This window comes from Homo sapiens, chromosome 2 (assembly GCF_000001405.40).
Source record: "Homo sapiens chromosome 2, GRCh38.p14 Primary Assembly".
Classification (NCBI taxonomy): Eukaryota; Metazoa; Chordata; class Mammalia; order Primates; family Hominidae; genus Homo; species Homo sapiens.
In genome coordinates, this window is record NC_000002.12 from 111,490,807 (window position 1) to 111,511,343 (window position 20,537).

The window sequence follows — 20,537 nt, forward strand, 5'->3', positions numbered from 1 at the left end:
ATCTATTGTCGGCTTTTCCTTGCCTGAGCTCTGTGATCTAACCAGAACCCAACGGAACCTATAGAGAGTCCAATCCTTGCCCGACAGCCCTGAGCCAGGCCCATAGCTGCCTAGCCTACAGCACTGGGGGCAGAGGGAGGTCCTCTGGATTATGGCACAGGGGGAAGTTGCAGGAAAAACTCCCCACAAATTAGCACCATCTACAATTGACCAACAAAGTGCAGATACTTCTCAGCATTCAAAGCCTAAACAATCAGGATGGAGACGTATAAAGCATTCAATGCTTCACGTTGGCAGGACGATACCAGGTATTTCACTGACAGGTGAAATAGCAGAGTGACGGGACAGAGTGATCAAGGCAGAGTGATCTAAAGGACACAGTAGTACTTCTTTAGGACCCTGGCAGAATGGAAGAGAGCATCTGGCTTCTAAGGCACTGCACAAACTTGAATGATCTTCTTCAGAATTGACAAGGAAAGGCCATGTTATGTTCACCCTGGGTTAAGTTTTAAGTGTATCTTATTTAATTTTTTTCAATATGAGTCATCTCCAGATACTGTGATGATTTCCAAATAACCAGAATCTAGATGACTAGAAATTTACTCTAGCTGGCTTTAGACAGGAAGCGTGAGGACAGAATCCAGCTGCTTCCACTCCAGGGTAGGTCTGAAGCCAACCGTCCTCGGTTTCCTGGCCTGTGGCATCAGTCTGGTTGGATTACACACAAAGCCCTGCAGATCTGCTGCTTTTCCTGATTCTCCTGTCCTGAGTGAGTGCAAGGGGCTCCCCTGTCGTCGATGTGTTCTTTGAAGCAGATGCTGTGCCTGATACCTGCTGGAGAGTCCCACCGCCTTGAGTGAGTCAACAAACCTATCATCCTTCCCATCTTCCAGGATGGATATTGGGGTGGGGGGAGGTTAAAGGGAATACCATAAAGTTGCTACCATACGGTTAGGGCTGAATACAATGGGAGTACTTATTGTGATGATGTCAATGATGATGACAGTGATGATGATGATGATGATGATATCTAGAACTCCAGGTTTTCCTGGAGAGAACCAAGGAGGATTCCCCACTTACCTAATAAATAAATGTCCTGTAAATGCAGAACATGCCATGTAATTGATGACACAAGCGGGATCTCACTTCTGGGGGATGAGAATCAATTCTTTATGGATTCCCACAGGGCAGAGGGACCCGGGTGGAGATACTAAGCTGTCTGTTGTATTTCCGAACGAATGAGTACGTACGTAACAGTTATCGTGTCTCCTTGTAACTCGTGTGCTAATCATAAAATCTTCACAAGGATTCATGACATTCGTGCTATGACTATTCTCATTTTACAGTGAGGAAGGCGGGACACCTAGGAATTAAGTAACTTGCCAACATAGGGACGAGCTCACCACACAACAACCAAGGGTGGGGATACCAGTCAGGTACTGCGGAAAACACTGGACATGAGGTAGACCAGGTGCACCAGGTCCAGGTGCTGATGAGAGGTGGAGAGTGGGAGACAGGGTCAGTGAGCCACAGGCCAGTCCCTAGGCTGAGGGCAATATGACAACAGGACATTGGCCAACTTCCAGCTGTCATCACTGTCTGTGTTTCATTTTCACAGTTCGATTAATAAATGCTCTATATTCAGGGATGCCTGCGGCCTTATTTCTTGATGACAGAAGTGATAATATCAGTCCCCCCACAGGCTTGTTCCTCATGGGTAGGAGGTGACTCAACTCCTAATGTCCAGACAACTGCCCAAATTCTGCATGAAAAAAAACATGATCAATGTCTGGGATAAAAATCAGCCACCTTAAAACCCTTTAAAGGATTGAAGGCCATGGGACCCAGTCATAAGCACATGTCTGGGGCCCGGCACCTTCTCTGAAACAAGGATGATCGAATGTTGGTGTCCATACCGCATGGAAGAGCTGTCTAACGCAGTTTGCCTTTGATTGGCTCCCGTCTCCATGAAGGTGGCACGTCTCCGACTGCTTACAAGGAGACAGGGTCTCACCCTGAGAGGACTCACCCAGAGAAACAAGCGGAGCTGCTCTACTGGCTTAGAAATGCCTGGCACCTGACTTGTGGAGGCTTCTAGTTGGCGTGAAATTGTTAGCCTTGGAAACAACTGCTGCTCACATTGGAACTGCAGGATCTTTCTTGAAAAAGCCATGGAACTAACTCAAGGGCCACAAGCCCAAATGCCTTCAGAGGGCAGATTAATAAGAGAGTCTAGCAGAGTTAGTGCTGATGGAGTTCCTTCTCCATCCAGGCCCTGTTCCGGCGGCCGGGCAGATGCTAACCCATGGGGACCACACAGCAGCCCCACGAGGCTGGCAGGCCCTCAGCCTGGCTTCTGAGCCTCGCTGTAATCGCACTCTCCAAGCTTTGTGGCATTAGGGTGTGACAGGGCCTGAGATCCGGAGAGTGTGGACCCCACCCACAGTTATCTCAACACAAAAAAACAATCCTGAGCAGGCCAAACAGAACCTGGTGGGGGATGCCTTCACCAGGGCTGCATCTGGTCCCAGAGCTGCTGGTTTGCAGCCCAACTATTTCGTTTTATTTTTTTAATTTTCTCAATATTTATCTTCTTTTATCTATAAACGAGTAAGGTTCTGGGGAGGTTTTCTTCCTTGGAATCTTGTTCTCTCATTTTAAGCTGACTTAATCTTCCCACGCTACACGTCACATGCAGAGCGCCAACTTTGAAGTTCACTCGGTGACCGACTCTCCCGCCCAATCCCTCGGCGAGGGTGACGTGCAAGCGGAACATCTCAAGGCTCCAGATGCAGGCTCAGCCCTCAGCTGCCCTGGCCTTAATAAACACTAGATTTTTCATTTCAGAAACTATGTTCAACCTGTTGCCTCAAGACAACCTAAAAATCGTCAACATTAGCCAAAGGTTGGAAGCCAAATGTGTTAGCTCCTGCCTCAGAGACAGATCCCTTAGCAGAGGGGGTCTCTCAGCAGAAGCCCAGAGGAGCTGGGACCCAAGCTGGGAGCTGGTCACTTACATAAGGGGGGCATCCTAAGTCGATTTTAACCCGAGATCCACCAGCCAAGCCTTCCTACGGGGGGCCGGCCAGCCACCGTGCTGTGCTGAGGAGCAGATTGAACATTCTCTTAGCTGCTCCAATTTTAGAATTGGGTGCTGACTCATTATTAACTCAGGAAGCCCACACACTCAAATGACTGTACTGAAAAAGCTCCCTGTCATACCCTGCCTACTGATGTGTTGCTTTTTAAGCAAATTTGAAAAATGTTTATCATAAGGTATTTATGACATTTTAACCGTTTCATTTACAGTAACTAGAACAACATTAAAAAAAAAATGTTTCCTGTATTTTACTTGACAGTAAAGCTAAGCTTCATCGGAATACTAACAGCCTGAGAAATACCTATCAAGATCAAGTCAGGCCTCAAAGACTGAGTGGCCCCCTCCTCAGTCCTCCCCAGTCCCCCACCCCCAGCGCTGGCCCCCAGCATTTTTACGTTCTTCCTGATTTTACTACAGTTTGTGACTTTCAACGTTAAGGAAAAGGAAAGGACGTAAAATACGCTCCTGCAATCATTCATATGCTTTTAGAGAAGGCAGCCAAAGTTCTGCCTCTCTGGTATTTCTCACACTGAAATTGGGCAGCTCTGACCACGAGGCCAGAAATGGCTCAGGAGCTGCCTCTCCTCCACCTCTGAGAAGCGGAAGCTCACCCAACCTCAGCAACCCTGGGTTAGCACAAGTATACCCACTTCCATCTCTGAGCTTCACTTTGGCTTCTCAGAGGAGTCCCGAGCAGCTTATTTTCCAGCCAAGCACTGCAGTCTCTTCCAAGACAACAGAAGGTGCAACCGGCATCTACATTCTTACAACGAAGGACTGAGAAACACCTCCTGACAGTCACACTACAGGACAGTAACCATGGGGCTGGTGACAGAGGCAGCCACTTTTCTAAAACGACAGATCTTCAAAGTCTGAAAGAAACGCAGTGTCCTCACCAGGACGCAGCAGCCTTTCCCACAGCCCAGACTCCAAGGCAAACTGCAGAAGCAACCCTAAAAATGACAGAAACATACTCACCAGGGAGAGGCTGGTGGCTCCACCTTCCCAGGAACTGTGCTGTGAAGATCTGAAGACAGGCACGGGCTCAGGCACCGCTTGTCTGGAATGTCAATTTGAAACTTAAAAAGCAGCGACCATCCAGTCATTTATTTCCCTCCATTCCCAATGATGTACACACGACTAAGAAGGAAAAAAAAAAAAGGCGCACACCTCAGCCTTCATTCTCATTGGAACGAGATGACTCATGCTGACTCATAGCCACCACTTCCTCTCCCGACATTCTCTTCATACTTGTGAGCTGGACTGGTCCGGTTCCCAGGGTCCCTGCAGCCCTTCCTGGAAGAGCAGCCTTCCTGATCCTCTCAGAGAGACCCAAACACTGACCCCACATGGGACCCAGGGGTCGCCCACACAGGGGAAATGCTTTATTTAGGAGTCTTGAGAACAACTGGAAAATAAAATGCATGAACTTTGTGTGCATTTGAATTTCAAATACATACTCAGATTTTGTAATGTGCTACAGGCTCATGTATGAAATTCTTGCTCTTTTCAAGGCAGTTCAGAGTAGAGAGAAGCATAAGATACTTTCTTATTCTTTTAGGTGTTCAGATTTACTTTGCTCTGGTAATAACTATTTCGGTGCCTGTTTTCTTCTGCATGTATTCCTCTGACATAACAATTCACAAGATCTAAAATCATCATCTCTTCAAAGCTGTCTGTTAGCGGGGTTCGTGCCCTGTTTATAAGTTTACATGACTTACCTCTTTTCTATCCATCTTTCAGACTTCAAGAATATTCTAGATTCAAATAGTAAAGCACCAAGGAATTAAATGAAGGTAGAGCAATCCAACTCTTAATAGTTGTTGGAGAATGTTTATCTGCAAGAATCAAGAATTGTCGCTGCCTCCTGGTTTTCTTTTGAATAATGCAGAGGGCCGGGCAGCCTCCCACAGCTTCAAGCATTTTTAAATTATGAGAAGCACTGGGTGTGAGCAGAATCCATGTGATCCTTAGCAGCTGCTCAAGAAGCCACCAAAGGCTACTGTGATTTCATTTGCCCAACTCAAGGTTTCTGGGGGGTGACACAGTCAAAGTCATGGATGAACAATGGTGCCCTTGGAGCCTTTTTTGGCTTAGTACCTGATGCTATGTAGGCTATATTCTGATATAGACTTAGAGTAAATAAGGAAATAATATTTTGTCCGAGGCATGAGACCCAGTTTTCACCTACAGCTAGATTTATCTTAGGGAAAAAATATTTATTCCTTTGCCACATCTCAAATCTTTTATCGGGAAATTCAGGGCATTTTTTTCCATCAGGCAATACCAAGTGCGGTGAGTTCCCTATGAAAGTTGTAGCATATTGGCCATTTGGCCAAATAGTCTCATTCCTTGCAGTTTTGTGTTTTATGGTTTTTTTCCCCCAGGAGAGTTCAAAGCCTGCTGGTTTTCCAGAATTTAGGAATGTCTGTATTGTGCAATTCATTGCAGTGCATTTCCTTTAGAGAAGAGTGGAGAACAGGAAGGAGGCACAGCCCCAGAGACTGCTTTGAGCCCAGCCCCTGTCATCCACAAGGGGCTTGCTTGCCTGAGGCCCCAGGGGCGTGGCAGCCCCACTAGAAGAATGCATTGACCAGGAGCTCTGCAGAGGATGTGGGTTGTTATGTTTGTTCTCTATGTGGAAAGCCAGCCTTTACCTTCTTTATGAAGACTTTTACTTTTATTAAGTTAACTCATTAATTCCTAGGAGAACTGAAAATAAAAATTAATTTCAAAAAATAACACCAGGGATGAAAGAAAGAAACGTGAAATAGTTAGAAAACATGGGCTCCAAGCAGGGCCACACCTTCCTGCCATATTAGAAGTGGTTTCTTCCACAGTGGCACTGTTATAGGAGCCTTCTGGATCATTCTGAGGCTTTAGACACAGCCAGGGTCCCGAAAGAGCAATTTGGACTGCCACCATGGAGAGTGAGTGAAACTGTGTCCCCCCCAGTGTCGCATTCGAAGATAATCCCACAAATGCTAAATCTTAATTCCTGATTGACTTCAGCCCTTCTCATTTGGAAATGGGCTGGAAAGTGGGGAAAAGGTGCTAGTGTGAGAAGAGGGAGGCCATTCCCAATATACTAATAAATAAATCATTCATTGAGGCATATGAGCACCAGCCCCCACATAATTGCTAATATGGAACTTTCTGGAGTAGATTATCTTTAAGCTGGCTCTGAATATTCCACCAGAAAGGAAACAATGATGACATTTTATACACCGCTACATTGAAAACACGGAACATCTGCATGCTCTTTCCCCAAAGAAAATAGCACTGGAAAAATGTAGGTTGCACGAAATTAGGAAAACAAAACAAATTTCATTTCTAAAGACAGTGTACATTCCAGCATGTCAGAGAATTATTATAAATAATGATGATTCACAGTAAAACTATCTAATATGTGCCAATAACTCTCCAAAACACACACAGGTATTAAGTCTTCTGATCCTTCCGGTAGGTCTATACCAAAAATAGTGATATCCTGCCCACTTTTTAGCAAAGAAACAGAGGTGTTCAGGAGCCTTCCCAAGGCTGCAAAGCCTGGATGTGAGCCCAGGCCTCCTGGCTTCAGAGTCCACATTCCTAACCACCAAGCCAGGCAAATTCCCACAAGTGACTTTTTAAACATCTTCGCACACACATTCCCTGAGCTCATGATGTATTCTCCCAAATTCTGCACACATACATGAGGCAAAGGCACTTTCTCTTCATTTGAGAAGTGAATCAAAATCCTAATTTTCAAGTGATCTGTCTCTTAAAATAATATCAATTCTATTTAATGAAAAGAGCCAATTAAAATTACACATTGGACACTTCCCAGAAAGTACCATGAAGCTGTCCACACTACCAATATCTCCAGCTGCGCTGCTCCTCCTACCTGGAGGACACAAGACTGTTAGAGGCCCTCACATCCCTTCCTTCACTTACACCTTCATAGCAGGTCTCTTCATCATCCTCCATCCAGGAGAAGTTTCATGCCCTCATTTCAAATCTAGACCCTCCCCCGTACACCTCATTTGTTCTCTAGGATTTTGCTCCTAACCAAATTTAGGCTCTTTCCTCCAACGTCTTTAATCGCTTCCTGTCTGTAGACCTAAACACAGGCTCAAGTCTCTTTCATCCCAGTAACACTATCCCTGCCTTTGACCCTGTGGAGTAGACCCAATGGGTTCCCCCACATTCATTCCATTCCTCCTCCATTGGCAGCAACCTTGACATTTGGTTAAGATGGACTCCACCCTCATAGCCAGGGGAGTCTTCTCATTGGCTATGCAAAATAAGGGCCACCCCTTGCCACTGTGAATGGCTCCTAGATGGGCTCCCAGGCCTATGTCAGTAAGGGCATGTTTTTTCTAGCCACCGTGGTAAGCTCAGGGGTGCCCAACTGGAGCAAAAACCCCAAGGCTACAGCGATTGCCTCAGGCAAGAAATAACAGGGAAGAATGCACAGAACTAAAGAGTCTCCTTCTTGCTTTAAAGTTTCAAAAGTTCAGGACAAGGTATTTGCTGTAGTTTAAATGTGTTCCTCAGAAGTTGATGTGTTGGAAACTTGGATACCAATGGAGCAATATGAGAGGTGGGGCCTTTCGGAGATGATTGGGTCATGAGGGCTCTGCTCTCATGAATGGACCCATTCATAAATTAATGGATTAATGGGTTATCACAAAAGTGGGTCTCATATGAAAGCCACTTTGGCCGTCTCTGGTGGGTCCTCTCACCGTGTGTTGCCCTGAGCCATCTCAGGACTCTGCAGAGAGTCCCTACCAGTAAGAAGCCCCTCACCAGTTGCAGCCCCTCAACCTTGGACTTCCCAGACTCCAGAATTGCTAAAAATAAATTTATCTTCTTTATAAACTAGTCAGCCTCAGGTGTTCAGTTATAGCAACAAAAAATAGACTAAGACAGTATTATAAAGAGAAAAATAAAAAACCTTGGAGGAATGGGTGAAGTCAGGCAACAATGTATAGTTGTACAGGTTATATACTGCACAACCCAATGGAGTAAATCCATACAAGTTGTGATGTGCCCAACCATATGTGGCAAAGCTAGGTGTAGAAACAGGCGATACCATCCCAAGCTCATATAAGGATTCCACAGGCTGGGTGATGAAGAGAGTTAGAAGGAAAGAGATAGAAGGAAGGGTGCGAACCCTGTTCCCCAAGAGGGGTGCTGGGAAGGAGAAGCATCATCACTCACTCCAGAGCAGTTTAGGGACTCTGAGAACAAAGAGACATCTGAAATTGGGATGATAGGATGTAAGAGTTTGATTGGCAGCTGGGCTCAGTGGCTCACACCTGTAATCTCAGCACTTTGGGAGGCCGAGGTGGGTGGATCACAAGGTCAGGTGATCGAGACCAGCCTGGCCAACATGGTGAAACCCTGTCTCTACTTAAAAATACAAATATTTGCCGGGCATGGTGGTGAGTACCTGTAATCCCAGCTACTGGGGAGGCTGAGGCAGGAGAATCGCTTGAACCTGAGAGGTGGAGGTTGCAGTGACCCAAGACTGTCACTGCACTCCAGCCTGGATGACAGAGCCATATAAAAAAAAAAAAAAAAAGAGTTTGAAAAGAGTTTAATTGGCAGTGCTTTCTTCTTCCTTAGTGGAACTTTAACTTAATGGTGCATCTTATAATTGAGGACATCTTAAATTGGATCTAATGTAGTCTGTAAAGTTAGGAAATTGCATGAGTTCACCACAGAAATGAACGTAGAAAAAGAAAGCAAGAACTGAGCCCTGCCCTGCAGCTTTAAGAGGTCAGGGAGTGAGGAGGAGCCAGCAAAGATGGGAGTGGGGGAAGTAAGGGCTGGTGAGGTGGAAGGGAAGCCTGGAGAGTGTAGGACCTTCAAGGGCAAGTGAAGAAGGTGCTTCAAGGAGGAGAGACTGATCACCTGCATAATCACTGCTGAAAGGTCATGTAAGGTGGAGACAGAAAAGTATACATGGATTTGGCAAAAAAAAGGATTTGCTGGGGAAGAGGGGGTGAAACTCTGAATTGAGTGAGGAGAGAAAGGGGAAAGAAATTGAAGACAGAACAGACACTGCTTTCTAGAAATAAAGCTATAGCTGGAGGGGGAAATGAGGTCAAGAGAGATTTCCTTATTTGTTAAGATGGGAAAAATAATAGCCCATCCGTGTACTTGTTGATAGAAATAATTTGGTAGAAAGAGAAAAATTGATGATGCAAGAGAGAATGAGAAGGAATTTGGTGGGGTAGAAAGAAGGCTAGAACCTACTGCTCAAAGAGAGGGTTTGGCTATGGTGAGGGAGAATCTATCTACATGACAGGACATTGACCAGGCACGGAGGTATGCTCTTGTAGTTTTCATACTTTGTAATAAAAGAAACATCAATTTTAAAAACTCAACAACAAATAGAACATGAAAATAGTCTGTCTACTTAAAACCTTAAAACATTACAGATGAAACTAAAGTCTCCTTTGGTGATGTTGTGGGATTTTATTTATTTTGATGTCTGAGAACTATTCCATTGTATGGATATACCATAGGTTGTTCATCCATTCACCTGTTGAGGGAAATTTGTTTTGTTTTCCACATTGGCTGTGACAAACACAACTGCTGTAAACATTTGTGTACATGTTTTTGTATGGATGTAAGTTTTTCTTTTGTCTAAAGTAAATAGTTAATTTACTGCTGGGTGATATGGTAACTGTATGCTTACCCTTATAAGAAACTGTCAAACTTTCTCCAAAGTGACCATACAATCCATTTTGCATTTCCGCCAGCAATGTATGCATGAGAGACCAGTTGATCCTCATCCTTTCCCCTGCTGGTATTGTCAGTATTTTTAGTTTAGCTGCTCTAACATGTGAGTCATGGTGTCTCCTCATAGCTTTAATTTGCATGTCCCTAATGACTAATGATGCTGAGCATCTTTCCGTGTGCTCATTCTTTTCTCCACTTCTTAATCGGATTCTTTGTTTTCTTACTGTTGAGTTTAGAGCCACCTTTATACATTCTAGGTACAACCTTTTAGATCAAATATGTAATTTGCAAATATTTTCTCCCAGTCTATATCTGGTCTTTTCATCCTCTTTAACAATATATTTTGCAGAATAAAAGTATTTTGATGAAATCCAGTTGATGTTATCTTTTTTTTATGGATAGTGCTTTAGGTCTTCTAAGGAATATTTGCCTAACTCTAGTAATGAAGATTTTTCTCCTGTTTTATTCTAAAAGTTTTAGAGTTTTACATTTTATATTTAGGCATATTATCAATTCTAAGTTAATTTTTCACAATATGTGAGGTTTAGATTGAGGAGTTTTCTGACTGAGGATATCCAATAAAACACCATTTGTTAAAAAGTCTATCTTTCCTCCATTGAATTGTTTTTGGGACTTTGTAAAAAAAATCACTTGGCTGGCTGGGCATGGTGGCTTACGCCTGTAGTCCTAACACTTTGGGAGGCCAAGACAAGCAGATCACCTGAGGTCAGGAGTTTGAGACCAGCCTGGGCAACATGGTGAAACCCCATCTCTACTAAAACAGAAAAAATTACACAGGCATGGTGGTGCACGCCTGTAGTCCCAGCTACTCGGGAGGCCAAGGCAGGAGAATTGCTTGAACTTGGAAGAGGGAGGTTTCAGTGAGCCGAGATTGTACCATTGTGCTCCAACCTGGGCGACAGAGTAAGACTCCGTCTAAAAAAAAGAGAAATCACTTGGCCATATTATGTGCATTTATATTTGGACTTTCAATTCTGTTCCATTAATCTACCAGTCTATTCCTTTCCCAACACCACAATCTTGATTAATACAGCTATATGTTAAATCTTAAAATCAGGTAGTATGTTTCCTCCAACTTTATTCTTCTTTTTTCAAAATTATTTTGGCTATTCTTGGTTTTTTTCTATATAAATTCTAGTATCAGTTCATTTGTATCTACAAAATGTCCCCCCCTTGGATTTTGAAAGGAACTGCAGTAAACCTATCAATGAATTTGGGTAGAATCTACTTCTTTACTACATTAAGTCTTCCAATCTATAAACATGGTATAGCTATTTATATAGTCATAGTTTGGTGTCTCAAGCTATATGAGCTAAAAAGTATTTTCATTAAATACTTGGGTGTTGGTTTAGTGATTCTCAATAAGTCATTTTATTGTCTTTATAAGGCCCTAAATTAAACAACCCCTACAAGTATTCTTATGTATATGGCTACCAAGATTTGATGCACCCACCCTATTATTTGGGTGCTGAGAGTGGGCTGAAGTATTAATAGATTAAACAGCCCCTTACCCCTACCTTTTCCTTTTTAAGAAACTCAAGAGGCATCATTCTGCTCAAGCAAGGCCCTTGCTTTCTGTGAGGCCTCCAGTTTTCCACTGATCTTCCTGGCTCTGATGGTTCTTTTTTCTCCTCCCCTCTGCCTCTGCCCTGGGGCTATTTGCCAAGATTCCTAGCTCAAATCACCTCCCTTCTCACTTATTTAGAGACTTCATCTCCCAGCTCACAAGACTCATTCTCCTGGGCTGATGCTGGGGGTCCTCCCTCCACACCCCCATAAGCATTCCAAGAATGTCCATGCTTCTGGTTATGAAAGCTGGAATCCCCAAGCTCTCTTGGCTCTCACCGCTTCCATCTACCATCCATCCATCCAGAGGTGTGCTGGCAAATGTTTAGCAATCACATCTTCAAATATAAATGAATAAAGCAAACCCTAATTTGTAGTGTTTGCTGATTTCTCTAGTGTAAATTCTCCCCAATTGCCAATTGCAAACTACCAGCATGCTCTCACTGAAAGTGAGTTGGGCAGAGATGAACAAATTAGTTCCAAAACCCAGAACAAGTCACTGCCAACACACCACTGCATCCATCCATCATCAAACCTGTGTGAGCACAGATTGCATTTTGGGCTTAATTCTCATGTGCACAATAATAATATTCTTGTTAATGGGAGTCACATTGATTTCACTCATGCTGATGATGAAAGGATTTGAGGGGTAACCAAGTTCTGGGGGCAGCAAAAACCTGGAAATGGTGCTGCTGACTTGTGGAAAATGGTGCAGCATCCGTGGGTTCAATCCACTGAAAAGCAGAGTCCTGACTTCTTTGGTCATGTCTGTCTTCAGTTACATCGGAGGTGATGGGAGTGAGGAGACAAGGCACCATGGATAGTTCCGGTCCTTATGAACAAAGTAGCCCAGTGCATCTCACCTGCATGGCTACATCAGATTGTCAGAAAATCTGCCCAGCAGAATTTCCAATGCAGCACTGGATTCTCGTCACACTGCAGGGTATTATTCAAGGTCATAGACTCTGGGGGCCAGAATGCCTTGATTTGAATCTGGTTTCCACTGCTGGTTGTATGACCTCGGATAAATCACCTAACTTCTCTGAACCTCAGGGCAGTGGGCAGAATTCTAAAGATACTTCCCCAAGATTCCTGTCTCTGCTTTTTCAGTCAAACACTAATAATAGGTAATACTGCGAGAGGATTTTGTAAGTATAATAAAGTCCAAGTTAACTGACCACAAAATAAGGAGAATAGATGAGTAGGCCTGACCCAGTCAGGTGAGCCCTTTAAAAGCAAGGCATTGGCCAGGCGTGGTGGCTCACACCAGAAATCCCAACACTTTGGAAGCCTGAGGCGGAAGAATCACTTGAATCTAGGAGCTCAAGACCAGCTAGCAACATGGTGAGACCTTACCTATAAAAAAAATTAAAAATTTAGCCAGACATGGTGGTGCATGCCTGTAGTCCCAGCTACTCAGAGAGGCTGCAGTGAGCTGTGATCATGCCATTGCACTCCAGCATGGGTGACAGAATGAGACCTTGTCTCAAAAAAAAAAAAAAAAAAAAAAAAAAATTGCAGCGCGTTTTCTCTGGCTGAAAGCAGAAGAGGAAGTCAGAGACGCAAAGCAGGAGAAGGTCACGTGTCAGGAATTCGGGAGGTCTTTAAGCACTAAGAGCAACCCCCAGCTGACAGCCAGCAGTAAAACAGATACCTCTAGGTTATAGCCAGAAGGAATTGGATTCCACCAACAACTCCGATGAGCTTGCAAGTCAATTTTCCCCTAAAGCCTCCAGACATGAACCCAACCCCTTTGACATCTTGATTTTGGTTTGTGTGACCCTGAGCAGAGAACCCAGTGGAGTCTGCCCAGACTTCTGACCCACAGAACTGTGAACTCATAGATGGGGTTTGTTTTAATGTCACTCCATTTGCAGGAATTTGTTACACAGCATTAGAGAACTGACACGTTCAGCCAATTTACAAAATGGGGATAAGAGTTTCATACTCATAGGGTTACATAAGAATTAAAAATTAATATCCACAAATGTCTAGGATGATAATAAGAACAATCTCTAAGTACTGGCTATTTTTCGTATGTGCCATGGAGCTGGTAAAACCCAAATACGTGTGGTTGATGATTTGAAAGTTTTTCCACCAATACAGTATTTGAGTCACAGGCTGCAGTCAAAAGTCTAGAATTTTAAATAAATGAATCATACACTAAATATGCATCATCTTTTGAAACTCAGTGCCTATGAGTAAATCTCGATGATCATAACACATTACTCAACAAAGCAGACCATAATAAAGAAGATATCAGAACACATGGAGCAAAAGACAGTAAGTTTGGGACTCAACCATTCAACTAATCTTTAATGAATACACACCAGATGCCAAGCTCCAACTCAGGTCCTGGGACACAGCAAGAAGAAGACACAAAAGATCCCTGTTCTCGTGAAGCTTATGTTCTAGGAGGGTGAGACAGAAAATAAGTACATGAGAAAAGTACAAGCTAGTGAATTGAACAGTGCAAAAAATTAGCATAGGGTAGGAGGGAAATACTTGAGATGGGCAGGTCATCTAGGAAGGTCACTCTGGAGAGGTGCCATTTAAGCTGAGATCTGAATGATGTCCAGGAGCCAGTCAGCAGCATTCCAGGACAAGAGAGCAGCTGTCGCCAAGACCCCAAGACACAAAGGAACAAGTAAGAGTCCCCAGGATGGCTGCTGCTTAGTAAGCAACAGCAAGAGAAGATGGGATGGGGCTGGAGAAGGTGGCAAGGAAGGAGCTTGAATTTTATGCCAGGTGTGATGAGGAGACACTGGAGGCTTTTAAACAGGAGAGTGACATGATCTGACTTGAATTTTCTGAGGACAACTTTTTCTGTTTTCTTTTTTTTTTTTTTTTGGACAGGGTCTCGCTCTGTTGCGGGCTGGAGTTCAGTGACGTGATCATGGCTCACTGCAGCCTCAACCTCCTGGGCTCAAGTGATCCTCACACCTCAGCCTCCCAAATAGCTGGAACTACAGATGCACACCACCACTGCTGGCTAATTTTTGTAGTTCTTATAGAGACAGGGTTTCACTATGTTGCCCAGTCTGGTCTTGAACTTCTGAGCTCAAGAAATCCAGCTGCCTCAGCCTCCCAAAGTGCGGGAATTACAGGCATGTGCCACCAAGCCCAGCCTCTGAGGATAACTCTTACTGCTAAGTGTGAAGCCCTTGTGTAGGACCAAGTGGAAACAAGGGAGATCAGTGGGTCCCCTTGGGGTCTGATGAGTGTAACAGAGACGGAAAGATGAGGACCTGTTTGAGTAATGTTTTGGAGATAGAGTTGTTGGATGGATTGGGTTCGAGGGCAGTGATGGAGAGAGATGAATCAAGCATAACCCTTCGATTTTTGGTTTGAGTAACTGAGGAGTGCCACTTACAGAGATGGGTGGTGTGAAATCCCAGATTTGGTTTTGGCCATCTTAATTTGGACGTGCCTATCAGATATCCACGTGGAGATGTTGAGTAGGCTTAGAATTCTTGGGAAAAGTCAATATTAGAGGCAGATTCAAGAGTTAATGTTCTACAGATGGAATTAAAGACCTGGCCTGGATGAGAGATAGAGAGAGAATATGTGGAGAAAGATGAGAATGGAACCCAGCACCCTCAGCCAGTGAGGGTGAGGTTGGAAGAAAACCAAGAAAATCACTGCTCAGAAGCCAAGGAGTGAGCGTACCAAGAAGGCAGGAGAGGTCCACCTGCCAGCACTGCTGAGAGGTCAAGTCAGACAGGAGCAGAGCAGGATGCACTGACCTGGCCACATGGAGGCCATGGTGACCAGGGAGATGGCCCCGGCAGCCTCCATGAGTGAGGCACAGGAGCTTGGCTGCAGGGAGTGGGTGCAGCACCCATAGACAATGCTTTCAAAAAGGGAAGCAGGAAAATGGGATCTGGAGCATCCTTTGAGGCCCCACCAAGTACAGTGATGGCAATTGAATGATAGAGGCCTGGGATCCACCAGCCGGCTTCTGAGTATTGCAGTTATCCTACAAATGGAGAAGGCAGGTCAGCATGGAATTAGATGGGTGCTGCTAAAGAGTGCATGGTCCGTGAGTGTGCAATGACATCATGCAGTCCGGGCAAACACGTTTTTCTTGGTATCAACTATTTCTAGTTTGGTGAAGACAGACTACGTATTTGAAATACTAGCAAGAAAACCATAAAGTAAAACTATTATTAAGAGCCAAGGCAGTTTAAATTCTTCAGTTTTGGCTAACGGGAAGAACTTATAAGTGGTTTCTTTTTGTTGTAAGCAAGGGTGGATGATAGCCTTCATCATTTTGCTTGATTTGATGTAACTGGGAAGTTTCTTAGGCTTGATAACTGGCAAAACAAAATCCTTGACACCTAAATAACCCTTTGGTCTAATGCATACTGCCAAGAGATCAGACGGAGCCTGATCTACCATCTTGTTTCTTAGCTGAGTGATTCTTTCATAGCTTAATTTTCACTTAATTATTCCATGCCCCTAATGACTCCCTCAAAAACACTACAAGGACAAATACACCCTAAGCAATCTGAGTTTGCCCTCTGAAAAGTTCATAATTAAAAACTTTACCTGTATTGAAAAAAAATCAGCACACTTCCTGACCACTACTACTGAGTTGTTGAATTTAATCAGACATGGACTTGATAGAGTGCATTCATCTCTAGTGGCTGTTAATGGGAACCAGTGAGTCAAATCTCATGTCTAACAGGGGCCAGCCTGACTGAGGGCCTGAGAGGAGGTTCTCAGGTCAGCACTGGGTCCAACACAGTCCCTCCCATCCCAGGCATCGCCCACCTCTTCACAGCCTATCATCATCACAGTGTCTGCCTGTCCTTCCTGCCTCTGACCTGCACACTCCACTCCTTCTGTGAACTGCTTCTTTCACTTTTGTGATGACACAAAGTCATAGATCTGATCGGGCCACTCTGGGTTTCACATCTGCACAGCTTCTCGGGGCCCTTGTGTGGCTTCAAGGTTTGTCCCTGAGACAAACAGACCCAGAGTGGAACGTAGCTCCCAACTCAGTGGCCTTGAGAAAGAGCCCTTCCTGAGCCTTTGTTTCCTCATTTGTAAATTGAGAATAGCCCTGGTCATGAGAGAGTCCTCGTGCCCCCACCCTGGTGAGGATGAAGTGAGATGATGCAGATGGTGAGGTTCACAGAGGGCCAGGCCCTTAGCGCCCAGCAAATGGCAGCTCTTTGTAGCGGATATGCTATTGTTCTGTCTAACAAACTGCACCCTTTCCTGGGGGACCCTCTCCTTCCCTTCATGTGGTCCTAAAGTTCTGTCATCTTACTCTGCTTCTCACCCTAAACCACCTATCATTAGGTCTGGCTGCACATTTCTGGAAAAATACAGCAATGCATTAAGTCAGGACTTCTTTTTCTCTTTCATGTAAAAGTAGCCTGGCATAGGAAGCACAGGCCGAGGGTGCAGCCCCAAAGCATTGCTAGGAAATTGGGCCCCTGTGTTCCTGATCCACCATCCCAGAGCCTGGCTTTCATCTTCAAAGTGGCTTCACAGCCCAGGATGGCTGCTGGCACTCCAGCCAGCAAGTCCGTATTCCCCATATTGACAGTAGGAGGAAGTGAGGGACGACAGAAAAATGTGTAACGCCATCTCTTCCCACCGTGACGGAGCCTACTGAAAACTCCACATAATGGTTCCACGTATGGAACTAGATCACCTGGGCTCACCTAGCTGCAGACTAGTCTAGAAAATGTGATCTTTTCACTGACACAATGCCATCTGAAATAGAAGTTTTTTAAATTAAGCAAGAAGGGGAGAGGGGTATCTGTTGTCAAGTAGTAGTGTCTGCCAAGGCAGGGGGCCCCAGGCTGGACATGAGTGCCCTTCCATGGGATCTGGTCTGCAACACTGGCAGAGGGATGGTCTGCATTCTCTATAGGTCATGGGCTGGAGGGACACAGTTGTACACAGAGGAACATGAGCCAGGGGAGGGAGAGAGGAGCAAGGCTGCCCTTGGGCTTTGGCTGGGGAAAAACTGATCCCCTCTAGACCCAAGTGAGTTTGAGTAGAGTCTCCAATGCTGTCATGTTGATTAAAGCACCACAGTTATGACTGTTTATTCTAGTGAGAAGGTCATTCTATATAAGCTGATTATTGACATTAATAATACCCAAGTGACATCAGGGACTCCTCCAGCTGCATCCTCTCCCCAACCCCAAAGCTCCCTGCAGCCCCTTCCTCCATGCTGCCTCCTCGCAGGGTCTCAAACCAAAAGCCCCTTTTCTTCTCTCCCTGCCTACACCTGTGCTCCCCCCACCCCCAGCCTGCTCATTTCTCCTCCAGCCCCTCTCTCCAAGCAAATTCCTTCTTCGTCTTGAAGACCAGATTCAAATGTCACCTCCTAAGCGGAACTTTCCCCAACTCCTTTGCATTCACTTGAGTCCCTAATGTTTGAATGATCTTTCATATTTTGCTGCAAGGCTTTACTCCTCCACTAAATTGAAAACACCAAGAGGGAAATTTTCCACCCTTCCCACACACACACTCCCACAGGTGACCATAAACACTTGTCACTGAATGACTGAATGAATGGCAAGTGGATGAGGTTTGGCCAATGCAAGCTCTACCCAAGCAGAAGCCTTCTGAGTGAGGGTTGCTGGGTGTGAACCTCACTCTGCCTCCACTGCCTCCTCTGTAAAAGAAAGATAACAATTCTGACATCTCTCTCAAAAGATTCACAATGCCTGACACAGTGTAGAACCTCAACTAATGTCAGCCATTCATATCGGTACTGTTTTACTGCACGTCGTCAACTCTGCGGCGCATATTTCTTTTTCACATTGTAATGGCACTTGCTTTATACGGCACGACATGGTTTAACTGGCAGAGGTTTGGGGTTTTTGGGTTTTTTGGGTTTTTTTGGTTTATTTTTTTCCCCTTGGTGATGCAACCAATGCTGTTTAGAAGTCAACGGAATTGTTGTTCTTAGGAAAGGAATAGAGTTCAGAAATTCAGGGCTTTGCAAAGTCAGAAAAGTCGACTGCTTATAAAGCCCAAATATTAGAGATGAGACTGTGCTGGCCTTTGAGTGGTCAAGGTCTGAAACGGCTCAGAATGAGATGAAGGGAAAGGACTGGCGTTTGCCATATGGTGTTCCGGAAGAGTCAAGGTAGCCACCATTCCATCAAATGAGAGTGAGGGAAGGGGCACAAAAGAAAAGCAATAAAGCAGGTCTGAGGCATAGGTCTTGGCAAGAATTCAGTGTGACTGCTGCCAGGGAGCTGATGAGAAGCAACTAGGTCAGAAGCTGACTGTGTTTTTGTGGATCCTGAATTGTCAAAGAAACCATGAGTTAAAAATATATTTTATGGATAAATTGGAATATTATTCAGCCATAAAAAGAATGAAATATTAATACATGCTTCAACATGGACAAGCCTTGAATACATTATGCAAAGTGGACACACACTACATGATTCCATTGATATGAAATATTCAGAATAGGCAAGTCCATTCAGATAGAAAGTAGTTTAGCGGTTGTCAGGGGCTGGGGGGGAGGTGGGAATGAGAATAATTGCTTAATGAGTACAAGGTTTCCTTTTGGGGTGAGGAAAATGTTCTGGAACCAGATAGAAGTGGTGGTTGTACGATGTTGTGGTTGTCCTAAATGCCGCTGAATTTGTTCATTTTTAAATGGTAATTTTATGTTACCTGAATTTCACCGCCCTCCCTTTTTTTTCTTTTTTTCTTTCGGAGACAGTGTTTGGTTCTGTTACCCAGGCTGGAGTGCAGTGGTGAGTTCATGACTCACCGCAGCCTCGACCTCCTGGGCTAAAGCAATCCTCCCACCTCAGCCTCCTGAGTAGCTGGGACTACAGGCATGTACCACCACATCCAGCTAATTGTTTTGTTTTTTTGTAGAGCTGAGGTCTCACTGCATGGTCCAGGCTGGTCTCAAACTCCTGGGCTCAAGGGATCCTCCGGCCTCAGCCTCCCAAAGTGCTAGGACTACAGGCGTGAACCACTGTGCCCCACGACATCTCAATTTTTTTTAAAGGCATTCGACTATTCAACGGTGGAACCTCCAACCTTCAGCAGCAGCAAGTGGGAAGGAGGAGCTGTGCAGACCCCACTAAGGGCATGTCCCTAATCCCATATCATACACAGCTATCCAGAGTGAGAGACCAGAGGGTCTCTCTGAGCACAAGCTAGGGGCCCCAGAGGACAGTGAGTAGAGAGGTTCCCCAGGGATAAACCAGAACACCAGGGGGAAAGGCCTCCCACTGCATGCTCAGAAGGTTTATTGCTAGGCGGGGGCCCCTGTGTGCCTCCCGTCTGCTCCTCTTAGAATGGTGGTGCTGTTGCTATTATCCTGCCCCTGTTCTACTGTAGGGTACCGAGCTGTGTGTGGCAGCTAATTTATTGCTTTATTATCTGTTTATAGGCTTCTGGGTCGAGAAAGGCCAAGTTGCACACTACTGAGAGACTGCCATGCACCCCCTGGAGGCCTCAGAACATTCGACATGCTTCAGTCATGGCCACGGCAGTGACTGCTGATTGCCTAACCCCACATGTGTTCTCCCCCTTCCCTGATAATCAAGCCCCTGATTTTCAGCTGGGCACAAAATAATTCTTCCTAGAACAACTCCATGTGTGTTATCGCCCTTGCAGCTGGGGGTGGCCACCACTGGGGAGAGGCAGGGTGAAGAGGTGGAAGGAGCCTGAGTTAGCAGGGATGAGCAGTGGCCAGGTAACCCCAGACCCACTATCCTCTGGATTTCTTTTATGTGAAACAATAAAATGTCTTGTATTCGAGCCTTTGTTACTGTAGGTTTCTGCTATATGCAACGAACCGTTAAGTGTAATTGATACAGTGGGCCCCATCCTAATCAACTCTGGGTACCACATTGTAAAAATCTGCAGTGTGGCTGTAACCCCACCATAATTTGCGATTTGGTGAACTTCCTTATTCTCTTAGATCTTTCAGAAATTGACTAGGGAACTAACAGTTTCCCACAAAACTACCCCACATTTTCATAGTAGGAAACTGCAACAAGGAACTTAACAAGTTCCTTGTTGGCAAGACAGTTATCCCTGAGCCTGCAGGCCGCCTCTCTGGCCACTGAAGTTTCTAGACAGGCCTGCAAAGCAGTAAAGGAAAGCA

At 44.9% G+C, this 20,537-nt stretch overlaps 2 long non-coding RNA genes across 9 annotated transcripts in view, besides 1 other annotated feature; one reads left to right on the forward strand and one right to left on the reverse strand.

The window, feature by feature from the left end:
* The window catches only part of MIR4435-2HG (MIR4435-2 host gene), a 299,296-nt gene extending 294,941 nt beyond the window's left edge, over nt 1-4,355 (reverse strand). For all 8 annotated transcript variants that reach the window (NR_136164.1, NR_136163.1, NR_136162.1 and 5 more), the window contains exon 1: nt 4,079-4,355. This is a non-coding gene — a long non-coding RNA (MIR4435-2 host gene). The remainder of the gene's footprint in view (nt 1-4,078) is intronic.
* SOCAR (serous ovarian cancer associated RNA) lies at nt 634-20,188 on the forward strand. Its single transcript, NR_187145.1, has 2 exons — nt 634-856; nt 19,818-20,188. It is a non-coding gene; the product is annotated as a serous ovarian cancer associated RNA (long non-coding RNA).
* Nucleotides 3,661-4,860: an enhancer, noted in NCBI's record as "P300/CBP strongly-dependent group 1 enhancer chr2:112252044-112253243 (GRCh37/hg19 assembly coordinates)". NCBI's record gives its function as "activates an origin of replication core promoter dependent on BRD2, BRD4, P300/CBP, MED14 and CDK7 cofactors, with strong dependence on P300/CBP, by STARR-seq in HCT116 cells {active_cell/tissue: HCT116}" and the evidence as "EXISTENCE:reporter gene assay evidence [ECO:0000049][PMID:35650434]".
* Nucleotides 20,189-20,537: the final 349 nt, after the last annotated feature.